The sequence below is a fragment of the Homo sapiens genome, chromosome 8, assembly GCF_000001405.40.
Source record: "Homo sapiens chromosome 8, GRCh38.p14 Primary Assembly".
In the NCBI taxonomy this organism is placed as follows: Eukaryota; Metazoa; Chordata; class Mammalia; order Primates; family Hominidae; genus Homo; species Homo sapiens.
The window spans coordinates 100450347-100469954 of NC_000008.11; the positions used below are offsets into that span (position 1 = coordinate 100450347).

The window sequence follows — 19608 nt, forward strand, 5'->3', positions numbered from 1 at the left end:
TATATCCATGTAAAAAACCTGCGTATGTATTGTCTGAATTTAAAATAAAATAAAATAACAAAAATAAATATAAAAAATAAATTTCCTTAACATTAAAAAAAAATTAGCTGGACGTGGTGGCATGTACCTGTAGTCTCAGCTCCTTGGGAGGTTGAGGTTGGAGAATTGCTTGAGCCTAGGAGGTTAAGGCTGCAGTAAGAAAAGAAAAAGTGAAATGAAACAAAAGATGTTGGCTGGGATTACAATCATCTGAATTCTTGACTGGGGTGGAGGATTCACTTCTGAGAGGGTTCACTCACAGGACCGGCAAGTAGATGTTAACTCTTGGTGTGAGGTGCAGCCCTTCAACACCTGGGCCTCTCCTGAGGGCTGCTATGTGTCCCTACTACCTGGCAGTTGGCTTCCACCAAAACAAGCTACACGAGAGTGACCAGGCAGGAGTTATCATTTTTATGACTTAATCTCACATTTCTGCCACATTCTCTTCATTTGCAATGAGTCAGTAAATCCAGCCACACTCAAGAAGGAAGGAATTACGTTCTACTTTTTGAAGGAAGGCATGTCAAAGAATTTGTGGACATATTTTAACAACACCACATAACACTGTGACAGGTGTTTACTGACCTACTTCAGAACACCCAGAGAACCCTCACACAATCTGAGCAACAAAAATTAGTCTTCTTTTATTTAAAAATTTATTTTAAAAAAATACAGAGTTGGCTGCATGAAGGCTTTTTTTTAAAAGTTCAGAGTCAAAGGTAGAGAATATGTGTGTGTGATGGAAGATGAAGAAAGATTTTCATATTTTCCGTCAATTCTCCTGGTTTCTTAGAGAATCACTCAAAAACAGCTTAAGGGAACTACAACAATTTAACAGCTCACTGTCTCAAGGAGTGCTCCAGCTAAAATCTATCTGTGCAGCAGTGGCTCACACCTGTAATCCCAACACTTTTGGAGGCCAGTTGGATGGACCACCTGAGGTCAGGGATTCTAGACCAGCCTGGCCAACATGGCGAAACCCGTCTCTACTAAAAATACAAAAATTAGGTGGGTATAGTGGTGGGTGCCTGTAGTCCCGGTTACTCAGGAAGCTGAGGCAGGAAAATCGCTTGAACCCAGGAGGTGGAGGTTGCAGTGAGCTGAGATGGCACCACTGCACTCCAGCCTGGGTGGCAAAGGGAGACTCTCAAAAAAAAAAAAAACTAATAATAAATAAAATAAAATCTATCTCTTAGAATATTGGCAGAGGAAGGCGTGAAATGGCTCTGATGATACCCTCTTCACTTCTATCTTCCCCTAAGAAGGCTATGCCACAGGATTGGGATTTTAAGTCCTGGGGGCAGCTCTAAGTTAGAACAAGGTTATTTGAGCAGAACATCCTAGTTAGGTCAAGTCAATGTAAAGAGTTCCCTCGGTTAACAGAAATAACCCAACAAGCTAATGCCACCAGCAAACAGAATTGCAGTGTGGGAAGTGCATATGAAAGCATGGACACCTGCTTTCAGTATTCCACACTCAGCCCAAGAGAAAAACAACTGCTCAAGTACAAAATGGTGACTCTGTTTTCTGAACATTTGGTCCTGAGTGTCATGTGGTCTGGTCTGTGGTGTCCTAGCTTTGAAATATGTCTCTTCTTATTTTCAGGAGACGATTCCTCTTAGCAAAAGGGCACTGTGTACCCTCCAAGGCTGGAAATGATAGGTTTTCGGCGAGGAGTGAAAATATTGTGCTGACAGCCCTTTGCCTGTGTAGAGCAGGGTTGTTTACTCGCGCTGGAGCACAGCTTTATTGAAGCAGAGAGTCATGGTCCCATCATCAGGGTTGCCTAGCAACCAGTCTACGCCACTCCACAGAGTTTCAGAATGGGCTGGACCACAAGTACCCACTTTGGGGGATTTCCAGTGACAGTCCTACTCTCACTCCATCACATCGCTTCTAAAATCTGAGTCACATGGTAAGACACAAGATTAATTGTTCAGCATCTCCCTTTCTTCTTTGAAAGTTGAAAAGAGCATTTGTTGGTTGAGTATGTTTTTTCAGATACTACAGAGAATTGGTCACTCTAGGTTATTGAGAATATCTAATTTTAGTTTAATTGGATCTTTTTCTCTCCAATTCCTTTAATATTTTATTTGATATGATATTAAGAGCATAGTCTGTAAATGAATCTTATTATGACTAGCCAGTTTAATATTCAGCAAAGTAGCTGAATGTACACAATGCTCATTTTATCAACAAAGATGCATGGTACCACACACAGTTTGAAAAGATACTCTGTCGTTAAAAATGTTGCTACCAAGGAAAGAAATCCTATATAAGCATAAAGACACATTCTACTAAGCAACAGATTGAAGGAGTTGGATATGATACAAAAACAAACAAAAAGACAAATTTACAACATCCTTTATTAAACAAACATTTATGGACTGACTATTATATAGATGTGTCACTTACTGACATGGATACATTCTGAGAAATGTGTCATTTGATGATTTTGTTATTGTGCAACCATCATAGAGTGTACTTACATCAACCTAAATGATTGCATAGCCTACTACGCACCTAGGCTATACAGTATAGCGTGTTGCTCTTAGGCTGCAAACCTGTACAGAGTGTTACTGTGCTGAATACTGTAGGCAGATGTAACACAATGGTAAGTATTTGTGTATCTAAATATGAAAAAGGTATGGTAAAAATATGGTATGAAAGATAAAAAATGATACACCTGCATAGGGCACTTACCATGAATGGAGCTTGCAGGACTGGAAGTTGCTCTGGGTGAGTCAGTGAGTGGTGAGTGAATGTGAAAGCCTAGGGCAGCGGTGTTCAATCTTTTGGCTTCCCTGAGCCACATTGGAAGAAGAATTGTCTTGGGCCACACATAAAATACACTAACACTAATGATAACTGATAAGAAAGAAGAAAGACAAAGAAAGAAAGAGAGAGAAAGAAAGAAAGAATGAAAGGAGGGAGGGAGGGAAGGAAGGAAAGAAGGGAGAAAGAGAAAGAGAGAAAGAAGAAAGAAAGAAAGAAAGAAAGAAAGAAAGGAAGGAAGGAAGGGGAAGGGGAAGGGAAGGGAAGGAAAGGAAAGGAGAGAGGGAGGGAGGGAAGGAAGGAAGGAAGGGAGGGAAGGAAGGGAGAGAGAGAGAAAGAAAGAAAGGAAGGAAGGAAGAAAGAAAGAAAGAAAGGAAGGAAGAAAGAAAGAAAGAAAGAAAGAAAGAAAGAAAGAAAGAAAGGAAGGAAGGAAGGAAGGAAGGGGAAGGGGAAGGGAAGGGAAGGAAAGGAAAGGAGAGAGGGAGGGAGGGAAGGAAGGAAGGAAGGGAGGGAAGGAAGGGAGAGAGAGAGAAAGAAAGAAAGGAAGGAAGGAAGAAAGAAAGAAAGGAAGGAAGAAAGAAAAAGAAAGAAAGAAAGAAAACTATCTGTGCATAAATCTCGTAATGTTTTAAGAAAGTTTATGAATTTGTGTTGGGCTGTATTCAAACCTTGGGCCGTATTCAAAGCTGTCCTTGGCCACATGCGGCCTGTGGGCCATGGGTTGGACAAGCTTGGTCTAGGGCATTACCATACGCTACTGCAGACCTTATAAACACTGTATTCGTAGGCTATACTACATTTATTAAATTTTTTTCTCTCTTCAGTAATAAATTAAACATAGCTTACTGTAATTTTTATTTTATAAACTTTTTAGAAAACATTCTCTTTTATAATAACACTTAGCTTAAAACACACATGGTACAACTGTACAAAAATATTTTCCTCTTTACATCCTATGCTACTAGTTTTGTTATATTTTTAAATCATTTTATTCTTTTTTCTTCAAATTTTTTCTGTTAAAAACTAAGACAGAGGCCAGGCACAGTGGTTCCTGCCTGTAATCCCAGCACCTTGGGAGGCTGAGGCAGGTGGATCACTTGAGGCCAGGAGTTCGAGACCCGCCTGGCCAACATGGTAAAACCCCATCTCTACTAAAAATACAAAAATTAGCCAGTGTGGTAGCACATGCCTATAATCCCAGCTATTTGGGTGGTGAACCCCCATCTCTACTAAAAATACAAAAATTAGCTGGGCGTGGTGGCATGTGCCTGGGAGGCTGAGGCAGGAGAATCGCTTGAACCTGGGAGGTGGAGGTTGCAGTGAGCCGAGATCGTGCCACTGCACTCCAGTCTGGCGACAGAGCAAGACTCCATCTCAAAAAAAATAAATAAATAAAAATAAATAACCACAAATGTTGTGGGGAGAAAAGACAATGAGTGTTTGGGAACCACAGTATGTAGAGGGAGAAGTTAAGGTAGAGGAGAAAGAGTCTGAAGATGAGACTGTGCTTGAGGAGATTCTCCAGGCTGGAGGGTGATGATGGGGTATGCAGTACACCCCCCAGGTACTCCTGAAAACAGAGCTCAACTGCAACATGCCTCCTTTCCTACCACTAGAAGATGGGCAGGTGATGGTATTTTTGTGGTGTACAACGGTGGACCTGTGTATCTTTGTGGAACAATTGCTGTTGACGTTGGCCCTGTTTTGCATTATTTATGATTTGTAAAAGCAGTATTGATTTTATTATAAAGGGGCTATTTTTCCTCAGAGGATTTGTTGATTTATGTTTGTTTCAGTTAAAGATTCAAAGTAGCCACTACTGATTTTTGTCACTTAATCTTTCTATCAAATGTTTTTATTAACGACTGTGCATTATGTGTTCAGGAATTCAATGGGAAGTTGATTTACGGTCAGATCAGATTGAAGGCTTGGGTTAAAAATTAAGTGTATTTTTTCTATGTCAGTCTTTAGACATTTTTCATGGTTAAATTAAAGGTTAGCATGTTAATATCAATTTATGCCAGCTTGGGTCTTTACAAGAATATACACAAAGTAGATCATTGATCTTAAAATATGGCCTCTATTACCTCTTTAAAGGCATAATCTCAATCTTTCCAACTTACTTTTTTGTTTTTGTTTTGTTTGTTTGTTTGTTTTGTTTTGTTTTTTTGAGACAGAGTTTCGCTCTTGTTGCCCAGGCTGGAGTGCAATGGCACGATCTTGGCTCACTGGAAACTCTGCCTCCCGGGTTCAAGCTATTCTCCTGCCTCAGCCTCCTGAGTAGCTGGGGTTATAAGTACATGCCACCACACATGGTTAATTTTTTGTATTTGTAGTAGATACGAGGTTTCACCATGTTAGCCAGGCTGGTCTGGAACTCCTGACCTTAGGTAATCCACCCTCCTTGGCCTCCCAAAGTGCTGGGATTACAGTCGTGAGCCACCATGCCCTGCCCCAGCTTACTTTTTATAGTAACTTTGACAAAACCCTGTATAAGAGACATTGGACATATCCTTTTTGTAATGAGAATGACAAATTCATTGTTGCTAATTGCAGAACTACGGCTAACATTAACTAGTTATTCAAACACCAGCCATGTTTGCTGGGGATTTCTAACATTTTAGAGGAATCCAGCAGTTCATGTTTATCTAGAAAGGTTGGAATATTCAGTTCAAGAACAGTTTCAAATCATAGCTGCTCATTTTATTTCCTGTTAAGATTATCAGTCTCATATCTAGCTAGGGTGCTTGGAGTGGCAAGGGCAGTGTGGAAAGGACTGGCAACACAGATATTATGTTAAAGTGACAGAGTTGGATTACTGATAAGCTATTTTGAATAAATTACAATGAATAGGAATCTCAAAAGAGGTAAGGAACATTGAGGACTTAGACCAGATAATCTTGAGATAATCCAGTCTATCAACAAAATTATATAATTTTATATTTAAAGTAGAGAAAAATAAACATTGATGTTTCTTACCTGCTCAGTGTAGCTTTTGTTTCTGTTTTTGTGTAAGGTTCAAATTTCACAGTACAAAGTGTGTTCTTCAGATCTGGGGTTCTCTCCAAAATGGATAATCATTATTGATTTTGTAATGCAATGCCAAGACCATCAGTAAGGTAAGTTTAATTATTTATTGCTTTGTTTTTTCTTTAGCGTGGTCTTAAAAATGCTTCTCAATTGTGAAACTGGTTATCACACAGAAATAGCATATGCCATGCATCCTTCAGAATTTCAATGTCAGGCATTATGTCTCTTTCAAAGATATTTCATTCATTCTCTTCAATGTATATGTGCTAAGAGTTAGTAAAGGTTTTTTTTCTTTCTTTTCTTTTTTTTTTTTTTTTTTTTTTTTTGGAGACAGAGTCTTGCTCTGGCTGGAGGGCTGGAGTACAGCGGCACAATCTCAGCTCACTGACTGCAACCTCTGCCTCCCAGGTTCAAGCAATTCTCCTGCCTCAGCCTCCCTAGTAGCTGGGATTACAGGTGTGCACCACCATAGCCAGCTAATTTTTCTGTACTGTAGTAGAGACAGGGTTTCACCGTGTTGCCCAGGCTGATCTTGAACTCCTGAGCTCAGGCAATCTACCTGCCTAAGCCTTGCAAAATGCTAGGATTACAGGAAGTTGTTTTCGTTAGTTCACCGGGAAGGCAAATGGTTGTAGAATTCTTTTTAAAACTTGGATCCCTTTGGAGTTGGACAGGCCTGGGTTCGCTTTATGTTATATGCACTTCACTTCCCACCCTGTGCTTCATCATGTGTAACCTTGGGCAAGGCAGTTAACCTCATCAAGCCTTCATCACTAATCTGTAAAATGAGAAGAATGATGATGCCCACCATATGGGACTATTTTTAAGGGTTAAATTCAACTTGAGCATTCACTACAGTTTTAAACACTTAGTAGGCCTTTGGGAAAGGTTGGCTATTCTTGTCACTCACACTTGGGAGAGGCTGAATTGTGTCACCCTCAGAATTCATATGTTGAACTCCTATTTCCCAGTACCTCAGAATGTGACTGCATTTGGAGATAGGACCCTTAAAGAGATAATTAAAGTAAAATGCAGTCATAGGGGTAGAACCTAATCCCATGTGACTGGTATCCTCATAAGATGAGGGGATAAGGACGCAGATACACACAGAGGAAAGACCACATGAAGATGCAGGGAGAGGCCAGCCATCCACAAGTCACGGAGAGAGGCCTCAAAAGACACCAACCCTGCTGCCACCTCAGTCTTAGACTTCTAGCCTCTAGCATTCTGAAAAACAAATTTCTGTTGTTGAAGCCACCTTCTCTGTGGTACTCTGTTATGGCAATCCTAAAAAATTGATACTGATGAAGAGTCTATTTCTAAATTACATGTTAAACAGTGCAAGATAAGGATGTTTCTGAAAGTTACCATGTTTGTTCTGTTTCTATAATTTTCTTGCATGGGGAAATAACATCAACTGCATGTTCTGTTCTCTGGCCCTAAGCTGCCGTCTGTGGGATTTGGCCAGCCTGAGTTAGGCTGTGGATGGTATACAGACACAAAGATCAGGCGGCCGTGGTGGTAACCAAGATGCCCCAGGGCATAAAATCAACAGTGTAATGATTTAGCATTTGTTATGTCAATACCGTGCTGGTTAGAGCAGCTAGCCTGGGATAAGCACATCAGAGGTAAATCAGAGTGAGCTCATATTTAAACACCACTCGGTTAGAACAATTTCCGTTTTTCTCCAAGCAGAGCTAAAGATGTTGTTTGTTCACTTAGTGTTATTATGGGAACAAAATCATTAAACTGTATAGATTTTATTTTCCTTAAACCAGATGGAATCCTGATTTCATTGGGACCGAAGATAATAATGTCCACATGAACTGCTGATTGCTCTTGGTGGATAACTCCCCTAACTCCACGTGACTCTTTCCTTCTCCCTGGCAATTTGCATTCTTTCTCTTTCCTGCTTCCAAGCCTATCCTTGGGGCTGCTCATCTGCCCTTTGTGCTGCTTTCTTTCCCAGCTAGGCAAGGTGTGGGCACAGGGACAACCCTGACAGCCCCGGAATCCAGGCCACTTGAATCCTTTTGTCCTGCTTTCATTCATCCCGGGTTCACCAACCCTAGGGACAGGGAACAAGGACTTCCCCATCCTCACTACCTTCGGACCTTTCTGCAGCCATACTGAAGCCCTGACGGCTCTCTTGCTGATGAAAAGCAACTTGTCCATTGTCACGGAAGGGAAAAAAGAGACCTAAGTCATTAAAACATTTATCCCCGAAGTTTTGGGAGGTTGGCTCTCTGTAAGTGACACCAGGGTCTGTGTCCGTAAATTGGAGATGGTAAAAGGACAGAGTTTAGCATTTCCATGTGGTTGGGCAACTGCAGGGTCCACACAGAGAGTCAGTGCCTCCTGACGTGCTGCGTCCCAGGTGCCCTGCTTGCTTGCCTCTGCTTGTCCTGGGACGTGCCCTGTGACCATTCCCCGCTTTTGGCAATCGTAACAAGGAGCAGCTGGCAGGGGGAGCGTGGTTTGCAGAGTCCCAGCTCCAGCATCCCAGAGCAGAGGTGGATTAGTGCTGAGAAACAATAGCTTAACAGCCAGCACAGTCACATAGGCTCTGTCGCTTAGTTTGAACCTCATGACAATCCCGAGAAGTAGAGCAGGTACTGTCATCCCCATGACTCAGCTCAGAGACTTGCTGAGGTCTTGGGAGGAGATCTGGAGCTGGGCGTCGAGTCTTCTGAGTGTCCTGATGTTTCATCACCCCTCAGATCACGCCAAGGAGGCAGCTGCCTACTCAGCTCATCCACAGCCTGGCCTGATCCCCTCCCTCCGTCAAGAATATTGTGCTGTGCCACGCTCTTACCAAACCCAGCCTGCACAGTCTTACTCAACCCCTGGTTGCATCTTTTTCTTGTATCCTACAACATCAATTTCATTTACAGATAACTTTTCTTATTGCTGGATATCTGAGGGCTGCCCGAAACGTCCTGAGCACTTTATTTTCCAGAGTAGGGATTAGCAGGAAGTCTTTTATTTCTGCCAGCAGGAGCCACCTGAATCTCTCTGGCACAATGACTGTCATGATCTGTTTCCTACTGTATCTTGCATCCAGAAAAAGAAATGCAAAAAGTACAGGTTGCAAGTACAAATGCCAAGCCTGGATTTTTCCCAACTGGGAAGGGCCAAACCTGAAAGTCATGCCCAGAGTCCTGGTGGCCACTATAACTTTGCCCGCCTTTGCTTTGTAGAAGTAGTTTGGCCTGATAGAAGCTGCCAATTAAAACCATAAAAATTGAGCCAGGCGCGGTGGCTCACGCCTGTCATCCCAGCACTTTGGGAGGCCGAGGCAGGTGGATCACTGGAGGCCAGGAGTTCGAGACCAGCCTGGCCAACATGGTGAAACCCCATCTCTACTAAAAATACAAAAATTAGCCAGGCGTGGTGCCTGTAATCCCAGCTACTCGGGAGGCTGAGGCAGGAGAATCGCTTGAACCTGGGAGGCAGAGGTTGCAGTGAGCCAAGATCATGCCACTGCACTCCAGCCTGGGCGTCAGAGCAAGACTTTGTTAAAAAAAAAAAAAAAAGACATAAAAATTGACCTAAGGCCTGTTAGGTGATTATACATTGATTTTATACTTTGTGCCAAAACCTGTCAGATCTTGGCCTGCCTGTCTCCAGCTTACACAATTGGGCGCATTCCTCAGTACTAGGGGTTGGCTGGGGCAACGGTGTTGGGGAAAGAAAATGAAGAAAACCGAGGCGTTTTGTGCTGAGCCTCTCAATCTGTGTGCCAGCGTTCTTGAGCAACTGTTAGAGAAGCCAAGTCCAGGCGGTAGGCGGTTTATGGGGCTCGGAATTCCCCCTCGAGGTTCCCATGGAGACTCCCCTGAGAGAGCTGCTCCCAGCCGCCCCAGGCGTGGAAGGAACAGGCAGAGCTTGGTAAAGGAGGAGAGAAGGTCTCAGGGATGGCAGCGTGGGAGCCCAGGCAGGTGACCCCCGCGCCTGCCTTGTTGGGGACTGACCTTGAGAAAAATTGTTACTTCAAATTGTTACTCTTGCTGAAAGGGGCGTTTCTGTGGTACCCTCTCTCTGGACATCAAGTCAGTTTCCCTGGGAAGGCCTGGGGGATCCTGAGAGGGATAGGGTGTTCTCTGAAAGTGTGATTTCCCCTGCCGGTCCCAGCTGCTTCTGCTCCAGCCACACTCTTCAGGACTGTCAGGGTCTGGGCTGAAGGTGGCTGAGAAGCGGGAAGGTAGGCACGGCTCTGCCACAAGTTCTCCTTCAGGCCCTGACTAGCTATTGGTAGTCTAGTTGTTGGTAGCCATTGGCCACCCGGCTGCCATCCCAGCCACAAGCCCCACAGACCCAAGAAGACACCCCCTGATCCATTCACATTTGGAGTGGGAAGGAAGACCAGGTTGGTTTTCACAGTAGGACTTAACTGTTGTGAGAATGGAAATGTGTGGATTAGAGGCAGGAATATTGGTGCCCAGTTACCCTTTGAGCCTATTTGTTCATTCATTCATTTGAGTAGAGCTGCTGAGGCCTACTATGTGTCAGGTTGGATGCCAGGCCCTGGAGACAGAAAGGTAAGTAGGCCAAAGTTACTGCTGAGCCCACCGTGAAGAGACAAAGCGAGTTTAAGCGATGACAGTCCGGTGTGGTAGGCGCTGAGATGGGAGCCTGGCCCACATGCTCTGGGATACATTGGAGGATGGGCTCCCAACTCAGTCACACAAGACAGGGAAGAATTCCTGGAAGAAGCAGCAGTGAAGCTGAGGCCTTGGGCTTGGTTTAAACCCCAGACTCCCACTTGGTCTGTCTCTACAGCCCATTTCTTGTCCTATCCACATGTGCTCCTCTGCCTCTTTCGTCTGCTGATTTCCATCCCTGTCCACCCCCCATATCAAGCCTCTTTTACTTCTAAATCTTTGTTGAGTGTTGACTCTGTGCACTGAGCTAGAAGCAACCATTACCTCCCAGCAACCCTATGAGATCATGAAGTCAGACCACCTGGCTTCAAACCCCAGCTCAGCCACTGCAAGCCATGAGATCTGGGTCAAGTTAGTGAACCTCTCTGTGTCTGTTTCCCTAACTGTACAGTGAGCCTAATGATAGTACACACTCCACAGTGTTGGTGTGAGGTCTAAATGAGTTAATATATGTAAAATGCACAGAGAGACATCAGGGATATGTTCAGAGCTGCGTGTGTGTTAACTAATATTGTGGTAGCCTCCACTTTATAGATGAAGAAGTTGAATTCAGAGAAGTTAACAATTTATCCAAAGCCACACAACTGGTAACCGGTCAGAGGCAGGATTTGAAGTCAGGGTTTCTGACTTCATGTCCAAAGTTCCCTTTTCCATGACACCACAGCTGCCTCTGATACCCTTTTCCATGACACCACAACTGCCTCTGATACCATCTCTGGTTCAGAGTCCTACCTGCCCCTGTGGCCAAGGTCGTGACCTCCTGCCGTGCTATCTCAGCGCTGTCCCACCAACCTATTGCAGCAGCTGAGCCTGGTCCTGTCCACCACAGCCCACGTCTGAGCACTGGAACACACAAGAGTTTGGGCCCTCAAGACCACTCTCAGCCTGAGCCCTGCCTATTCAAACTGGCTGTTCTTGTGCAGAGAAGGAAGCGGGTCACCTCAGTGGCAGGAAGGGAGCATCAAGAAGGCAACTGAGAAAGCTGCAGTGTTGAAATGAGGGAAGTGTCAAGGTGTCATAGTGGAGGCATGGAGTGGAGCCAGGCAGGTGGAGTGAGGCTAATAGGTACACAAGGATTTCAAATAAAGGCAAACTTTCCCCTTTTGGAGGTGGTTTTTTTGTTTTGTTTTGTTTTGGAGACAGGGTTTTGCTCTGTGGCCAGGGCTGGAGTGCAGTGGTATGATCACAGCTCACTGTAGCCTCAACCTCCTGGGCTCAAGCGACCCTTTGGAGGCTTTTTAATGTGACTTTGTAATGCTAACTAAGGCACTGAGCACTAATTTCAAATGGAAATTCCTACAATTATCCTAAATGTTCTCATAACAACCCACTAGATCCGTATTAAGTCTATCCTGTAGTCCTTTCGGCCATTTGATAGAAATTGACCAGGGGGTCAGAAATTGGGAATCAGAGTCTCCAAGTTCTGTGCTTGCCCCGTGACTTTGGAGAGATGTTTCTTTTTAAGAATCTGCTTCCTCATCTGGAAACCAAGGGAAATTTTACGGTTTTCCTCTGAGGGGTATTTTTGAGGGTAGTTGTAGACCATCTTCCAAGTACAAAGCCTCAGATATGCAGAAAGAGAGCTGGCATTTCAGAAAATGTGGAGCTCAAGTGTTTTCAAATCCATTATTATTTCCATCTAGGAGCATTTTTTTAAAGAGGCCAGGTTAGTTCCAATGGATTCAATACTGTGTTCATCCACTCCTGAATAACAATAATCAAAGTTCTTTATTTATTTGAGTTTCGTTTGAGATGTTTCAGCCCATTATCCTTCAGCTGGGCCACTGAACCTACACTCAGAAATGAGAACCAGCTGACTAAATAAATAGTTGCATATGGAAAAGAAGTAGGAAACACCTTTCCAAAACTAATAATATTAACAAACTTCCAAGAGACACACAATCCATAATTAGTGACTATTTGGGGGGAAAAAAAGACACAAACCTTGGAATTTGAAATGTGATTCTGAGAACAGCCTGGTGTGTTTTTTCTTGCTCAGAATCTGTCCACCCTTTTTTTTTGGCCCCTTTCCCTTCTGACAGCCACATTAATTCAAATTCTTTCTCTACATGTCTGTAGATTGCAAATTTAGATACTGGGATTCAATACTTCTTGCCTGAACTCCCAGAGTCGCCAGTCGACAAAGGCTTATTAAAAACCTCAGTAAGTCATGTGACCAGACAGAACTGATTCTAGCTCAGCCCACAGGAAGGGTAGCCTTGCTCTCAGAAACCAAATCTCTGGCAAGGCTGCCTTTAGGGTCAGATTCAGTGACATTGGACTCCATGCTGGGGCAGACCCAATCGGTGTGCCTAGGCCAAGATTCAGCAGGCCACAGATGCCTGGGGAATGAGCTTGACCTCCTGGAGTCACTCCTTAAGAGAAGCACCCAGCCTATATCCCTGGGTTGTCCCACTTCCAACACAGCCCATATAATGCTGAAATTCATATGCCATTTACTAACCTGTGCCAGATCATCATATCACCCTCCCCTCTTTCTCTCAAGTGTGGTAGAAATGGCTAGTTGACCCCTGAAAAGTCATGATCTCCTTGACTCCTTGATCTGTATAGTATGAACTTGCTGTTGAGAAGCAGGTGACTAACCAGGGACTCCATTTCCCAGCCTCTCAACCCACCCCATGTCCTTCACTCTGGCCAGTGAAATAAGAGCCTGAGAGATGTGTCACTTTCTGGCTGAGGTGGTTAAGTATCCAGTGTGGCTTTCCTCACTCTCTTCCCCAGCTTGTATCACTAAAGGACAGAGGCCTGGATCCCTGAGTAGCTGGGTGGAGGAAGAGCCCAGGACTGCTGCCTGACCAGGAATGTCTGATTAGAGTTTGTGTGAGCCCGAAATACACTTTTGTGTTCAGCTGTTAATACTGTGGGTTTTTCATTGCAGCGGTTCGCTGTGTTGACTAAGATAATGCCCATGCAGCATTTCCTAAGCAGCGCATCCTGTGATAGTGGGATTTTCCCCTGCTCCTATCTTTCTTTGTGCAGAGAACACCAGTGCTGCCCACGTGCCCTGTGGTCTTGTTTGAGTCTCTGTATACCTCTCTCTCCACCCTCCCGAATGGAACCTCGCTTTGTGAGGAGGCAGTAGAGCATGGGCAGAAGTTACAAGCGTAGTTTCTGATCAGATTGCTTAGGTTCAAATCCTGACCCCACCACTTACAAACATGTGAGGCCTTGAGCAAATGGCTTAACTTCTCTGAGCTTTAAATTCTCTCTCTAACAGAGGGAGAGTACCTTGCAGAGTTGTCATGCTGAATAAACAGAACAGTGTAAAGTACCTGGCACATAATCAACATAGTAAATATTAGTATTGTTAGATGGCTGTTACCTACTGAGCCAGCTTCAGCATAATAGATATGCAGATTGACTGCAACCAATCAGCATCATTGCCACTCTTCTTTCTCCTCCTTTCTTCTATTCATGTCAGTAATTCCCACCAGTAATGCACAACAGTTTTCTTTCATGGGTACTGGTGTTTCTTCTAGCTCTGTACCATGGTAACCACCGACCTTCTATTCTGAGGTGCCACAACAAATTTGAAATGTGTAAGTATTTTTTTTCAGAATTAGAAAGTAGGGTGGATTCCAAGGAAGTGGCCCCTAGTGTGTGCTGGATGAACGCTTACCTGCTTTGGTAGATATCTGGTCCTGCTCAGGAACAGCTGTCCTGATGGGTCAGCGCTGCCCTCCCTGCCTCCCCTCAGGGTTCTGTGTTTCCAGCTCAGCTCTTGGGAGCTTTGGTAATGCAGAAAGCCAAGTGGGTAAAAGGATAAGAAGCACCCAGACTAGTATTAGAGAGGGTTTCCCCAAGATTTCAGAGGCAAGAGAAGCTAGGGCATTTGTGGGTTAAGAAGGAAGCAGAAGGAAGAGACAAGGAGGGCTGAGAACTGTATTGCCTGACATCCATCTTCTTTAGGATGGCCGAGAAGTACAAATAAAGGCCTTATGTGATTTCTAATTGCTTTTTGGTGGCTAGACTGTCTTTCATGTATCATGGTCTTATTCTGAGACTGGACTGTGAAGCCACAGCTTCAATAGGGTTATAACGCTTTTTTGCATAGATTGACATTCATCCATCCTATAAGCAGATGATAAACCTTATTTGAGAAATTAAATGAACACAGCAGCCTTTGTTCAGCTGAGTAACAGGATTGAGGGGTTCCATCGGGGGCAACAGGTGTGGCAGAGCAGTGAAAAAGGCTGGCACATTCCCAGAGGAGGCAGCAGCCCCAACCTTGCTTCTAGCTTTCTGAATATTGAACAGGCAAAGGCCAGCACAGACAGCATGAGACAGACATCTCTGACCCCATAGAGTCTCGGGCATTCACCTCCTAATGCTATGAGTAAACCAGCGCTGCCATCAGAACGTCTTGGCTATTGGCACCAGAGCCGTGACTGTCGCCCCATTTCAGATTCTGGTTAGAATGCAGATAAGTTCACAGTTTACAGGCTTTGAAGCCCTAACTGAACCTTTCTCCAGGACCTGTTTGCAAGTGGCTCTTCCATGATAAGTCCTCCTCCACTGGGATTCTTATGGATTTGGGCCCAGAAGGACTTTAAAGGTCATATAGCACAACTCCTTTATTTGAGAGAGGAGGGCACTTGAAATCCTGTGGCTTCTCCTCTAACACATGCTTTGCTAACTGAGATGGTAACAGAAGCTGAACTTGGCCAGCATGCCCAAGGGGCTAGCATTTCCGTGGGTGTTAGTAGTGAAAGAGAAACATGTTCACTGGGGTCTGGGGTGCTGAGACTTCACAGCCGTGGGCTGGGATGGCCTGGAAAATGGGCTCCCTTCCTCTAGGCTGATGGTCTGAATTGCCTCTGAATGGAGGGCATCAGGGGTCCATTTGGTGCTGGTGTCACAGAGCTGCATTTCTGTTCACTCTATCGTGACCTGCCGGTGGCTTCCTGGAAAAGGCTGAGCTAATCCTCAGCAATCCTTAGCATGAGAGCTCAAAGGTGACTGATGTTTCACAACAGGAGACTCGGTCCTTTGGCTTAAGTCTTCATCCTCTATTACAATGCAAATATCCTTGAACAAGAGGTGCTATAGTGGGAGAGTAGAGAACTGGATGCTAGTGCCAATTCTGCTATTGGCTCCTGGGTAACCGTGGGCAGCATTCTCACACTTGGAGCCTCAGCCTGTGGGTCACAGGACACTATCTCTGGGGTACCTGAAAGTGCTGCTAGGATTCTAACGTAACTAGAGAAGAATGAATGACCCCTCACACTTGACTGTGGTCCTTTTCCAGAGAGCAGCTTAGGAGAAAACGGATGTGGAGAGTCATTGGGAGACTTTGGGCTCTGAAAGGGAACTTCACAACCTGGCTCAGGGCTGCACAACACAGGAAAGGCAGTGCTCATGGCTCAGAGCCCACCAGTGCTGCTGGTCTGGACAGTGACATCTTGAGCCCTTATGAGGGGGCAGCTCTGTTCCCAGACGTGTGTCACCCAGAGTCCAAAGCCTCTGTCACTTCAGAGGAAGCTGGAGAGATGATTCTGGAATAGCTCCTCTCTCCTGTGTGAGGCAAGGAATAAGTGAGCTCTTAAAAGGAAAGGTGCCCAGCCTGTAATCCCAGCACTTTGGGAGGCTGATGGGGATGGGTCACTTGAGGTCAGGAGTTTGAGACCAGCCTGGCCAATATGGCGAAAATCCATCTCTACAAAAAATACAAAAATCAGCCAGGCATGATGGTGTGCACCTATAATCCCAGCTACTTGGGAGGCTGAGGCACAAGAATCTCTTGAATCCGGGAGGTGGAGGTTGCAGTGAGCCGAGATTGCGCCACTGTACTCCAGCCTGGGCGAGAGAGAGAAACTCTGTCTCCAACAAATAAATAAATAAAAATAAACAAAAGGAGAGGTCCCCATCGGTTTTTGTTTGTTTGTTTTAAGACAAGGTCTCTGTCGCCCAGGCTGGAGTGCAGTGGTGCAAGCATAGCTCACGGCAGCCTTGAACTTCTGGGCTCAAGCGATCCTCCTGCCTTCCGAGTAGCCTGTAGTCTTGGCTGGGACTGGACATGGACCACCAAGCTGAGCTAATTTTTCAATTTTTTGCAGAGGCGGGGGTCTCCCTATGTTGCCCAAGCTGGTTTGAACTCTTGGGCTCAACTGATCCTTCCACCTTGGCCTCCCAAAACATTGGGATTACAGGTGTGAGCCATCAGGCCTGGCCCCATTGGGTTCTTGATAATTCTTTAATCAAGCAATTGCTCCCCAAAAGTTTTATACCATAAATACTCTTGCTAGTTTTCTCCAATAAAAGATGAAATGGCTTCTCTTTTGCTTGACTTCGGAGGGCCCATTACTGTTTGAATTTGAATTTGAGCTACCCCCACTTCAGGCAGAAGAGGAGTCTTTTTAGTCTGCATGAGGGAGAGCTGAACTGTGTTAGGCAAGAGAATTTTGTTGTAGTTGATGTTGTGCTTAATATTGGTGGATGGTGGATATTGGCCTTGGGGCCCCTTAAGCAATTGAATGAAGCAGACACCTGCCACGTTTCCTGGCTGTCCAGCAACTTTTTAAACTCACCTTTGCTCTACTTGGGAAATGTCCTGCTTTGTAAGTCCTACTTTCACCAGGAACAACCCAGAAAATTCAGTCTGCAAACTCCTCTGCCATTACAGCACAAGTAATATGAGCTGGGTTCTCCCAATCAAATTACCTGTGGGGGACCTGGACTTGGAAGTGAGGACCTTACAGAACCCATTTTGCTGGCAAGGCAGGTAACAGAGGTTTCTTTGGGAAGAAATGTGGTTAAGATGGCATCAGTGGAGTTGCCTGGCTGGGAGCTTTTGCCCGGGTGGCAGCTGCTTCCTCATCAGGACAGGGCTGTAGCATGGATTTGGACATCGTTCTATGGAATTGCTTCTCCAGGCTCCCGCTAAGTCTGTGAGCTAGCCAATTCCCTTCCCATAAACTCCTTTATTTTTGATTACCAGAGCCGGCCTTTGTGGCTTTCTGTTGAAAGCTTCGAAGGATTCAACAATCAACCACTAACTGGACGACTCCTCCTCACAGGCACTCTGTGCCCTGAGGTTGCCACAGCAGCAGGAGGCTCAGCCATACCTCCAGGAGTTCCCCTTCTCAAACCTCATTCCTCACCATTTCTTTCCTGCCTATTCACTCCAGGCCTCCCACATGGTCCTGTTGAGTTTATCCCCTCCTGTTGCCACACTAACGGCCACTCTGTGGGAAATGCAGTGGTTTTTTAAAACCACCTGAGTCGCCTGGTTTTAAAGAATGAACCTGGCCTAAGGGAGGCACATATCCTCCATTCCAGAGATAGAGACCAGGTGCTCTTCCAGGATGGCAGCCCCCCAAGAATCTGCTTGGGGGTTTCAACTCAGTTTCCAAATACCTGGGCCATCATTCCTTACACAGAGCCTTTGATATCTTCTTGCTTAGATAATTCACCACTAGCCCATGCTAGAATCCAAAGAAATGTCCAGTTAGGTAATTTTTGTTTGTCTCCAGTGAGAAGTATTTCCAGAAAGTAAACACTACAAGGACAGGGATGTGTTTACTGATGCAGTCATCCTAGTGTCTAGAACTGTTCCTGGCACCTAATGAGGTACTCAGTAAATCACTGTTGAATAAATGTAGGAATTTATTTAAACTGCAATCTGCCAGATAATGGTCTAAAACAGCGGTCCCCAAACTTCTTGGCACCAGGGACTGGTTTAGTGGAAGACAATTTTTCCACAAACAGCAGCAGGGCAGGGGTGGGTGGAGGGGGGATGGTTTCGACATGAAACTGTTCCACCTCAGATCATCAGGCATTAGATTCTCATAAGGAGTGAGCAGCCTAGATCCCGTGCATGCACAGTTCACAATAGGGTTTGCATTCCTACGAAAATCTAATGCCACTGCTGATCTGACAGGATGTGGTGCTCAGGTGGTAATGCTTGCTCACCTGCCACTCACCTCCTGCTGTGCAGCCCAGTTCCTAATAGGCCACAGACCTGTACCAGTCAGTGACCCAGGGGTTGAGGACCCCTGGTCTAAAACAGACTGAAATAGAAATGAACATCACATTGAAAATTTGGTATGCCTTAAGAGCTTCACACACACAAAAAAACTACAGTGTATCTATCCATCTGTTCTAGAAGTCTATAGCCATGGAGGGGGAGGCCCAGTGTATGGTCTTTGTGGAGAAGATGGGCTCTTTTTTTTTTTTTGAGACAGGGTGTCACTCTGTTGACCAGGCTTGAGTGCAGTGGTGCACTTATAGCTTGTTGCAACCTTGAACTCCTGGGCTCAAGGGATCTTCCCGCCTCAGCCTGGTAGCTGGGATTACAGGTATATACCACTAAGCCCAGCTAATTTTTAATTTTTTTGTAAAGAGGTAGTTTTGCCTTGTTGCCCAGGCTGGCCTCAAGCAATACTCCTGCCTCGGCCTCCCAAAGTGTTGGGATTACAGGTGTGAGCCATTGCACCTGGCCTGGTTAGCTCTTTGTGATATTTTTTGGTATCAACTACTAATTAAAATTTGTTGGCATTTGGTACATTTTTATTCTAGGAAGCCCTGAAAAATCTCAACTATTTGCAAAGCACCTTCTTCTTCTTTTTTTTTAAAAAAGGGGGCAACAATGTATATTGACATTTTTAGTTTTAAGCCTGCTTGAAACTGGTCTTTAATGTTTATATAAATTTAATACAAGCTTCCTGATGACATCACCCTCTTGCTGTGGCCTTTGGGAGATAGTGGAGAGTCTCACATCAAGTGCATTTTTAGTCTGTGGTTGACAAGCATGTTGAAGCTTTTGCATGCATCACCTCAGTTATCCTTCAAGGACCTTGAAAGATACAAGTCATTTAATAATCTCCATTTGACCAATAAAGAAAGTGGTGCATAGAGAGGTTAAATTACTTGCTAGTGATTGGTGGAGCCAAGATTCCAATCCAGTCCAGCTGACACCAGAGCCTGCGGACCTGACCATCGAGTGTTCTGAAACTGGTAGACCAGAGGGCTTCTGGGGCCCCTCTAGTGTCTATGTACAGTAGAAAATGCTCAAAAATGATTGTCATCCCCAAATATTCAGCCCCTACCATAAGTCTCACAGCATCTACTAGAGGCACCA

The 19608-nt window shown here is 44.8% G+C and overlaps 1 long non-coding RNA gene across 1 annotated transcript in view, besides 4 other annotated features; it reads left to right on the top strand.

Moving 5' to 3' along the window:
* Nucleotides 1-7555, top strand: part of LOC105375670 (uncharacterized) — a 26841-nt gene extending 19286 nt beyond the window's left edge. The window contains exons 3-4 of the long non-coding RNA XR_928452.4: nt 1645-1954; nt 5831-7555. This is a non-coding gene — a long non-coding RNA (uncharacterized LOC105375670). The remainder of the gene's footprint in view (nt 1-1644; nt 1955-5830) is intronic.
* Nucleotides 7725-8402: an enhancer, noted in NCBI's record as "H3K27ac-H3K4me1 hESC enhancer chr8:101470299-101470976 (GRCh37/hg19 assembly coordinates)". NCBI's record gives its function as "activates a minimal SCP1, AML or CMV promoter by ChIP-STARR-seq in primed H9 embryonic stem cells {active_cell/tissue: H9 hESC(primed)}" and the evidence as "EXISTENCE:reporter gene assay evidence [ECO:0000049][PMID:30033119]".
* Nucleotides 9286-9786: an enhancer, noted in NCBI's record as "H3K4me1 hESC enhancer chr8:101471860-101472360 (GRCh37/hg19 assembly coordinates)". NCBI's record gives its function as "activates a minimal SCP1, AML or CMV promoter by ChIP-STARR-seq in naive H9 embryonic stem cells {active_cell/tissue: H9 hESC(naive)}" and the evidence as "EXISTENCE:reporter gene assay evidence [ECO:0000049][PMID:30033119]".
* Nucleotides 9787-10287: an enhancer, noted in NCBI's record as "H3K4me1 hESC enhancer chr8:101472361-101472861 (GRCh37/hg19 assembly coordinates)". NCBI's record gives its function as "activates a minimal SCP1, AML or CMV promoter by ChIP-STARR-seq in primed H9 embryonic stem cells {active_cell/tissue: H9 hESC(primed)}" and the evidence as "EXISTENCE:reporter gene assay evidence [ECO:0000049][PMID:30033119]".
* Nucleotides 15179-15765: an enhancer, noted in NCBI's record as "OCT4-NANOG hESC enhancer chr8:101477753-101478339 (GRCh37/hg19 assembly coordinates)". NCBI's record gives its function as "activates a minimal SCP1, AML or CMV promoter by ChIP-STARR-seq in naive and primed H9 embryonic stem cells {active_cell/tissue: H9 hESC(naive and primed)}" and the evidence as "EXISTENCE:reporter gene assay evidence [ECO:0000049][PMID:30033119]".